At 50.3% G+C, this 8,800-nt stretch overlaps 1 long non-coding RNA gene across 1 annotated transcript, besides 5 other annotated features; it reads right to left on the reverse strand.

Moving 5' to 3' along the window:
* Positions 292-1,201: an enhancer, noted in NCBI's record as "H3K27ac-H3K4me1 hESC enhancer chr6:168375775-168376684 (GRCh37/hg19 assembly coordinates)". NCBI's record gives its function as "activates a minimal SCP1, AML or CMV promoter by ChIP-STARR-seq in naive and primed H9 embryonic stem cells {active_cell/tissue: H9 hESC(naive and primed)}" and the evidence as "EXISTENCE:reporter gene assay evidence [ECO:0000049][PMID:30033119]".
* Positions 1,115-4,990, reverse strand: HGC6.3 (uncharacterized LOC100128124). Its single transcript, NR_171011.1, has 3 exons — positions 4,742-4,990; positions 3,277-3,567; positions 1,115-2,012 (listed from the first exon to the last, which is right to left on the reverse strand). It is a non-coding gene; the product is annotated as an uncharacterized LOC100128124 (long non-coding RNA).
* Positions 3,041-3,617: an enhancer, noted in NCBI's record as "H3K4me1 hESC enhancer chr6:168378524-168379100 (GRCh37/hg19 assembly coordinates)". NCBI's record gives its function as "activates a minimal SCP1, AML or CMV promoter by ChIP-STARR-seq in naive H9 embryonic stem cells {active_cell/tissue: H9 hESC(naive)}" and the evidence as "EXISTENCE:reporter gene assay evidence [ECO:0000049][PMID:30033119]".
* Positions 3,618-4,194: an enhancer, noted in NCBI's record as "NANOG-H3K4me1 hESC enhancer chr6:168379101-168379677 (GRCh37/hg19 assembly coordinates)". NCBI's record gives its function as "activates a minimal SCP1, AML or CMV promoter by ChIP-STARR-seq in naive H9 embryonic stem cells {active_cell/tissue: H9 hESC(naive)}" and the evidence as "EXISTENCE:reporter gene assay evidence [ECO:0000049][PMID:30033119]".
* Positions 4,772-5,347: an enhancer, noted in NCBI's record as "NANOG-H3K27ac hESC enhancer chr6:168380255-168380830 (GRCh37/hg19 assembly coordinates)". NCBI's record gives its function as "activates a minimal SCP1, AML or CMV promoter by ChIP-STARR-seq in naive H9 embryonic stem cells {active_cell/tissue: H9 hESC(naive)}" and the evidence as "EXISTENCE:reporter gene assay evidence [ECO:0000049][PMID:30033119]".
* Positions 7,212-7,412: a silencer, noted in NCBI's record as "peak6321 fragment used in MPRA reporter construct". NCBI's record gives its function as "represses an SCP1 promoter by STARR-seq MPRAs in K562 erythroleukemia cells {active_cell/tissue: K562}" and the evidence as "EXISTENCE:reporter gene assay evidence [ECO:0000049][PMID:32103011]".

Raw genomic sequence — 8,800 nt, forward strand, 5'->3', positions numbered from 1 at the left:
GATTTGATCAGATCTCTCTCAAGAATTCTTGTAGCAAGACAAGAAAAGGGATTGGTGGAATACAAACAAAAATAGGAAATGAAGGAAGAGGAGAGTGCAAAGGTGAGGACCACACAGGCCGACTGCATTGCGAGGCCGTGCTGCGCGGGGAGGCTGGGTACCACATACCAGTTGCATGTATTCAGAAGAGGAGCAAGACGCAAGCACCTTCCGGAGGGAATTTGTCTCAGCCTCATATTCTAAGAGGAGTTTCTCAGGCAGCACTGGACATGGGCCGCCCTGAATATTCTTTGCTCCTGAGGACACCATTTGCGGGGCTGACTTGTGTACATACACGGGGCCTCTGGCTGTCTCAGGTGGAGACACAGATTTGTCACACCTCTTGGCAGGGTTTCTAATGACATGGGCAGAGCCAGAGTCATTAAAGTGGTAAAGCAGGTTGGATTCCAGAACTTTGTAATAGGGGGAAGAAAACACCGCAGTTTGGAGCTGGACTCAACTCTGCATACAGCAAGGCTGGAGGGCACTCAGGCTAAACTGACCCATGGGGAGTCTTCCTAAAGTCAGGCCTGGGGAACCCAGCATCACCTGGGGGTTGGCGGGGGACGCAGAACTGATCAGATGTCGGACGCAGGCGTGGGGGATTCTCACGGCGATGCAGACTTGAGGCTGAGTTGAAAAAGGGCGTGGAGAAGCCCAGGGTCTGGTCAGGGAGGGCGTCCTTGGCACTGGGGCCATGAGAAGCTGGTGTCCATGTTCCTAACCAACGATGCCACATGGTCGCCGCGATCACGTCGCACACCGTGTCCTGTCACCTCTGCCAGGCGTGAGCTGGCCTTTTCGCCACTGTTCTCCTGGCCTATGTGCATGCCTAGCCAACAGCTGCTACGTAAATAAGCTTGGAAACAAAGTGATACGGACCTGATGTATTACAAACACGCTGCAGCAGGAGACGAGGCCTCCGTCCAGCACTGCCACCGACTCTCCTGGAACCTTTGGCCACATTCTGTGACACGGGACAGGCTCAGAGCAGCTCAGTCCCCTCGAGACCTGACACCAGCCCCTTCAGAGACCATCCATTTTCTAGGAGTCACATGAAAAAAGTAGAAAGAGGTGTAATAAATTGTGATATATTTTATTTTGCCTAATATATCCCAACAGCATCATTTCAACATGCAATCTATACATAAAATGCATTCAGATTCTCTACATTCTTTTTCATGCAGCGCCTTCAAAATCCAGGCCGTCTCATACCCACAGCATTTCCCCGACTGCTGCGTGCTAGTGCTGGACCGTGAGTGACCAGAGAAACCACTGCATTAAAATATGGGGGTCACTCCCCCTGCAGTGTGTGTGTGGGGAGCAGGAGGCAGTGGGGGTCATTCCCCCTGCAGTGTTGGGGGAGGAGAAGGCAGTGGGGGTCATTCCCCCTGCAGTGTGTGGGGAAGGAGGAGGCAGTGGGGGTCATTACCCCTGCAGTGTGTTGGGAGGAGGAGGCAGTGGGGGTCATTCCCCCTGCAGTGTGTGGGGAGGAGAAGACAGTGGGGGTCATTCCCCCTGCAGTGTGGGGGGAGGAGAAGACAGTGGGGGTCATTCCCCCTGCAGTGTGGGGGGAGGAGAAGACAGTGGGGGTCATTCCCCCTGCAGTGTGTTGGGAGGAGGAGGCAGTGGGGGTCATTCCCCCTGCAGTGTGTTGGGAGGAGAAGACAGTGGGGGTCATTCCCCCTGCAGTGTGTTGGGAGGAGAAGACAGTGGGGGTCATTCCCCCTGCAGTGTGTTGGGAGGAGGAGGCAGTGGGGGTCATTCCCCCTGCAGTGTTGGGGGAGGAGAAGAAGGCAGTGGGGGTCATTCCCCCAGCACTGTGCGGGGAGGAGGAGGCAGGACTGTGCTCGCCCCTCCCCTTCCTGGTTCAGGTCCTGCTCCTGGGACTCAGCGCTGCGCCTCTGGGAAGGGCCGGTCCAGGAGCTCCGCAAGTTGCGGGAGAACCTGGCGGGTCCGTGGTCCAGCGAGGCCTGGGATTCAGAAGGGATGAAACGTTCCTCGACGCTTGAACACCGGCCTCCTGCCCCTGGGTCTTCCTGCTATTTCTTCCTGCCCCTCGCTCCCGCCTCGAGCCACCCCCTCGTGCTCCCCAACGCCCGCTCCTGTGCTGGTCACTGGGGGCAGTGAGAGGAGGCCAGAAGCAGAGGCGATGCCGGCGGGGAGCGGGCGGTGGGGGGGCTTCTGGGAGCGACGGACCCGGCAGCTGCAGAGCCCAGTGCGGCTGAGTGGGGGGAGGGAGGAGGGACCCCCCTCAGAGGCTCCACGCGGAGGCCTGGGAGAATCGGGTGGGCTGGAGGCTTTCACTGGATGGTAGCCAGCTTTGGACGCAAACGTCCCACGTGACCTGTCCCCTCTCGTCTAGGCTTCCAGGACCTAGGGGTGGTGGACCTGCTCTGTCCTCCCACCCCTGGACTTCCCTGGTGATCTCCTCTCCCCTCCCACCAGGGACCTCCTACCCCCTTCCCCCTCCCCCCTCCCACACCGGAGCCTTCTCTCCCCTCCCACCCGGGACCTCTTCTCCCCTCCCACCCGGGGCCTCCTCTCCCCTCCCACCCGGGACCTCTTCTCCCCCCCATCCGGGGCCTGCTGTCCCCTCCCACCCGGGACCTCTTCTCCCCTCCCATCCGGGGCCTCCTCTCCCCTCCCACCCGGGACCTCTTCTCCCCTCCCATCCGGGGCCTCCTCTCCCCTCCCACCCGGGACCTCTTCTCCCCTCCCATCCGGGGCCTCCTCTCCCCTCCCACCCGGGACCTCTTCTCCCCTCCCATCCGGGGCCTCCTCTCCCCTCCCACCCGGGACCTCTTCTCCCCTCCCATCCGGGGCCTCCTCTCCCCTCCCACCCGGGACCTCTTCTCCCCTCCCATCCGGGGCCTGCTGTCCCCTCCCACCCGGGACCTCTTCTCCCCTCCCATCCGGGGCCTCCTCTCCCCTCCCATCCGGAACCTCTTCTCCCCTCCCATCCGGGGCCTCCTCTCCCCTCCCACCCGGGACCTCTTCTCCCCTCCCATCCGGGGCCTCCTCTCCCCTCCCACCCGGGGCCTCCGCGGCTTTTAAAACTGTCTGCTGTGTGCTGTGCACGTGCTGGGAGCACAGTAGCGAAGCCGGGACAGATAAAGTTCTTCTAGTCACTGCCCTCTTGGAGTATACCGTTGAATCCGGGAAGTAGATCAATGAAATAAACACAGAATGGTTGTAAAATACAGAACGCTGGGAAGTGGAGGTGCGTGGTCTTACCCGTGTTTATAATTCAGCCGTCGCCTAACCTGAGAAATCAAGGATTTCTGCGTCGTGCGCGTGCCCGCTGAGCTGAGCTCTGCTGGGATGGGGAGTCCTTCTCCGGCTGGAGGCTGAGGGCAGGAGCTCTCGGTGAGAGGCTGCGGCCAGCGGTGCTGTGAGCCGGGCGGGGGTCAGCGCGGGCGGCCGGGGCGAGGCTGACAGCACAGCAGGGGCCGAGCTCCCCCGGGTCAGGCGGGACCAGGAAGGGATCATCCTTCTTTTGAGGGCACGGAGCCACCGTCGGAGGGCCTGTGAGAAGGGTGGGAAGCTGAGATTACATTCCTATTCTGAAAATGTCACACTGTGGAGGGCGGTGGTTCAAGCGCAGTAATGGCCATGGAGGGAGAACACCGCCCGGGGACACCCGGGGTGGCAGGGACCGGAGCCCCGGAAACCTGAGCAAAACGCGCAAAATGGGGAAAACCACCCAGGTTTTAATGGAAATTGTGCGAACAGCTGTCAACGAAGAGTCAAACTCTGTAAAATATTTGAAGAGATTTATTCGGAGCCAAATATGAGTGACCACAGCCTGTAACACGGCCCTCAGAAGGTCCTGAGAACGTGTGCCAAGGTGGCCGGGGCACAACTTGGTTTTATACAATTTAGAGAGGCAGGAGACATCAATCAAATACGTTTAAGAAATACATTGGTTCTGCCCAGAAAAGCGGGACAACTCAAAGGGCAGGGGGAGGGCTTCCAGGCTCTAGGTAAATGTAAACACTTTCTGGTTGACAATTGGTTGAGTTTCTCCGAAGACCTGGGATCAGTAGAAAGGAAATGTTCAGGTTAAGATAAAAGACTGTGGAGACCAAGGTTCTTTTGAAGCCTCATAGTGGCTGCCCTTGGAGACAATAGGTGACAAATGTTTCCTATTTAGATCTTTAAAAGGTGCTAGACTCTAGTTCATTTCTTCAGGATTGGGAGGGCCTGGAAGAAAGATCTAGCCATGTTAACAGAGATTCTTTACAGATGTACACGTCTCCCAACAACGGACAGCTCTGCAGGACCGTTTCAAAATATGGCAAAGAAACATGCTTTTGGGGTAAAATATTTTGACTTTCTTCCTTGTCTCGTAATGTTATGCACGAGTCAGGTTTGGAAAGCAAGTCACAATATATAGGGTTAAATAAAACCCATCTGATAAGAATTTATGATTTGTAGGGCATGACTCCCCAGACCCCTTAGATAGGAATTTGAGTAAGAGTTAAAAAAAAATCAGAGCATAGTCCTCACAGCAAAAATCAGATGACAAATATTTATTCAAGAAAGTCTGCTGAAACTCCCTAAGAATAATGATCATCTGTGGCTCCCTCCTTCCCCCACCCCAGCTCATCTTGACAGAAGCCCCACTCTTGGTGGTTGTGGCCAAGGAGACAGGGCTCGCTCTCCCCTCAGCTCCCACCCGAGGGTCCCCTTATCTCACCAGGAGGGACAGATGCCAGCATTTCTCACCCCAGCACCCAGTTGAAGAGGCTAAATTCCTGGTGAGCATGACGGACAGCCCCCTTCCTCCAGCCAGTCCCTACTCATCGGATGGGGCTCTAGCCCAAGAACAGCGGGCTAAGAAGGCTGGGATCCAGTTGCTGTGCCCAGCTCCACTGTAGGACGCAGTTCCGTAAAAAGAGGCAAACTGAAAAGACCAGAGAGCAGGGCAGTCCACAGGGAAGAAAAGGTTGCTCTGAAGCTCTTCCCAAAGGAACTGGCTTTATTGGAAACAGCGTGGAAACATTCAAGCCTGAAGGCATGCTCTGAAATGATTGTTCCTCTTAATTAGGAGCAATGAATTGGTCTGTGAGGGCTGCCAGAACAAAGCACCACAGACTGGGGGCTTAAACAACAGAAATTTCTCCCTCACAGTTCTGAGGCGGAAGCGTCTGAGCTCAAGGCGTTGGCAGGTTTGGTTGCCTCAGAGGCCTCTCTCCTTGGCCTGTGAATGGCCCCCTTCTCACTGTGTCCTCACGTGGTCTTTTTTCATTCCTTGTGTCTCTGTGTCCAGATTTCCTCCTCTTGTAAGGACACCAGTCACATTGGAATACGGCCCACCCCCATGGACTCATTTTAACTTAATCACCTCTTTAAAGGGCCTATCTTCAAATAGAATCATGTTCTAATACGCTGGGGGTTAGGACTTCAACATACGAATTCGAGGGTAGAGACACAATTCAGCACATCATCAACAAACTAATTCATAGCCCTGCTAGGTTGCTAGAGAGAACCAAGGTGACACTAAGAAGAGCCCTCGGCTGGGCGCGGTGGCTCACGTCTGTAATCCCAGCACTTTGGGAGGCCGAGGTGGGTGGATCATGAGGTCAAGAGATCGAGACCATCCTGGCCAATATGGTGAAACCCCGTCTCTACTAAAAATATAAAAATTAGTTGGGCGTGGTGGCACACACCTGTAGTCCCAGCTACTCGGGAGGCCGAGGCAGGAGAACCATTCGAACCCGGGAGGCAGAGGTTGCAGTGAGCTGAGATCGCGCCATTGCACTCCAGCCTGGTGACAGAGCAAGACTCAGTCTCAAAAAAAAAAAAAAAAAAAAAAGCCCTCCTGGAGCTAAAACAAACCTCAGAGACTGGCCTTAAAAAATGTTCACTGCTGCAGTTTAATTGGACCAGACATTGAAGAAATGTATGCCCAGGTCATTACTGAAAATCATAGAGCAATCAGTTAGTAATTAATGGAGCTTAACAGGTAGATATGATACCGCATGAGGTAGATAGCTTAACAGAGGGATCAAGGAAAGAGATAGCCAGTGTCCCCACCAAAACCACCACAACCCAGGCTGGCTGCGTGCATGCCCAAGGCTGAGTCCTCCAAGGAACTACCCCAGAGGCTTCACACTGCAGGGGAAATAAGCTTCACTGAAATAGTCTAGCCAAGTGACTCAACAAATAAGCAAAACAACAAAACCAAGCTACAGAGAGGGAAGAGAGGAATCAGCATGTAGTTTGTATACTGTTACCTAAAACATCCGATTTTCAACAAAAATGTAGACATGCAAAGACATTCAAAGAAACAGGAAAATGAGACATGAGGAAAACACAGGAAACAAAAGCTGCCTTGTGAGGGCCTAGATTTTTTTTTTAATTTGACTCTGACTAGCAGGAGGGCCTAGATGTTGAGTAGACAGAGACTTCAAAGCAGACATTACAGCCATGTTCAAAAAACTAAACAACACTGTGCTCATAGAAGTGAGGGAAACCATGACAATGTCTCATCAAATAAAAAAAAATACAGAGATTGAAATTATTTTTTAATGATAATCCTGGAGCTGAAAATAACTGAAATGCCAAAAAACATCTGGCAGGGCTCATGAGTAGATTTGAACTGAAAAGTCAGCAAACTTTAAGATAGGTTGGTAGAAATTATGTTATCTTAAAAACGGAGATAAAAATAGATTGAAAAAAAGGAATAGAACCTCAGAGAAATATGTGAACCCTTTAAGCCCCCCAGCATATGCATAATGAAAGCAAAAGGAGAGAAGAGAGATAAAGGGGCAGAAAAACATTCAGAGAAATAATTGCTGAAAACTTCCCAAATTTGCTTAAAAATGTGAATCTCTCAAAGAAGTTCAATGAATCCCAAAAGTAGGATAAATACAAAGAGATTCACACTCACACATGTCATAGTACAAATGTTTGAAGCCAACATGAAAATCTTGAAAGCAGAAAGTGGGAACGAGTTGCCGTGTACAAGAGAACCCAAAAGGACTGATGGCTGTCTTCTCCTCAGCAATGATGGAAGTCAGAGGGCAGTTGATACGGTTTGGCTGTTTCCCCACCCAAATCTCATCTTGGATTCCCACTGTTGCGGGAGGGACCTGGTGGGCGGTAATTGAATCATGGGAGCAGATATCTTTCCCATGCTGTTCTCGTGATAGTGAATGAGTCTCACGAGATCTGACGGTTTTAAAAGGAGGAGTTTCCCTGCACAAGCTCCTTCTGTCTCTCTCTGTCACCATGTGAGGTGTGACTTTCCCCTTCTGCCATGGTTGGAAGGCCTCCCCAGCCACGTGGAACTGTAAGTCCAGTAAACCTCTTTCTTTGGTAATTTGCCCAGTCTTGGGTTTGTCTATATTAGCAGCATGAAAATGGACTCATACGGCAGTGGAGTGAGATGTTCAAAGTGCTGAAAGAAAAAAAAGCTGTCAATCAAGAGTCTTATATCTGGCAAAACTGTCTTTCAAAAATTAAAGCAAAATAAAAGCATTCTTCAAAAAAAAATCAGAGAGAATTTCTTGTGAAAAGGAAATCCCTCAGGCTGAAAGCAAGTGAAACCACAAGGAAACTCAAATCCACAAAGAGCATCAGTAAAGGTAATTATATAATTATAAAAGACAGTAGACATGTATATTTCTTCATTTTCCTTCTCTTAACTGATTTAAAGAACAGTTGTATAAGACAGAGTGTGTATAATTGTACTGTTGGCCCTGTAACATGTAGAAATGTAATGTATTTGACAAAAATAACACAAAGGATGTGATGAAGGCAAAGTTTTACTGGAGTCAGGAAAGGACGCCAGTGACTCGAATCCACAGGACCAAATGAAGAGAAACAAACATGGTGAATAAAAAGAGAAATAGAACTTGCATATAAATAAATATGTATCCTCCTTCCTTTTCTCACCTCCTTTAATGAACATGAAATTATGTAAAGTCATAATTATAACAATGTATTATATTTATAACATATATACATATAATGTGTATAACTATAATAATATAAAAGGAGGGAAGAATACACCTAACAACAGGGCTCCTGAACTAGTGAGACAAAAACCAACAGAATGGAAGAGAAATAGGCAATTCAAAAACAAGGATGGCAGACTTCAATACTCTACCTGCAATTATGGGTAGACCAACTAGATAGAAAATCAGCAAGTAAGCAGAAGACTCAAAGAATGCGATAAACTGAACAGACCTAACAGACACCTGTAGAACACGCTACCTAACAACAGAATTGAAAATTCTTCTCAAGTGCGCATTGAACACGCTCCAGGATAAACATGCTAAGTCATAGAACAAGCCTGAATCATATATGATTTATATCCTTTAAATGTATTCAGGCTTGTTCTGTGACCTAGCATGTTTATCCTGGAGCGTATTCAGAATAGAGTTAAACTCACTAAACAAATTCGGCAAGGTTGAAGAATATAAGATCAATATACAAAAAGCAAATGTATTTCTATACTGTAGAAATGAACAACTGAAAATGAAATTAAGAAAACAATTCCAGCCAGGCATGGTGGCTCATGCCTGTAATCCTAGCATTCTGGGAGGCTGAGACAGGAGGGTTGCTTGAGGCCAAGAGTTCAAGACCACTCTGGCCAGCATATCAAGACCCTGTTTCTATTAAAAAAAAAAAAAAAAAAAAGGCTGGGCACCGTGGCTCATGCCTGTAATCCCAGCACTTTGGGAGGCCAAGGCGGGTGGATCACCTGAGGTCAGGAGTTCGAGACCAGCCTGGCCAACATGGCAAAACC

Source organism: Homo sapiens, chromosome 6, assembly GCF_000001405.40.
Source record: "Homo sapiens chromosome 6, GRCh38.p14 Primary Assembly".
Taxonomy (NCBI): domain Eukaryota; kingdom Metazoa; phylum Chordata; class Mammalia; order Primates; family Hominidae; genus Homo; species Homo sapiens.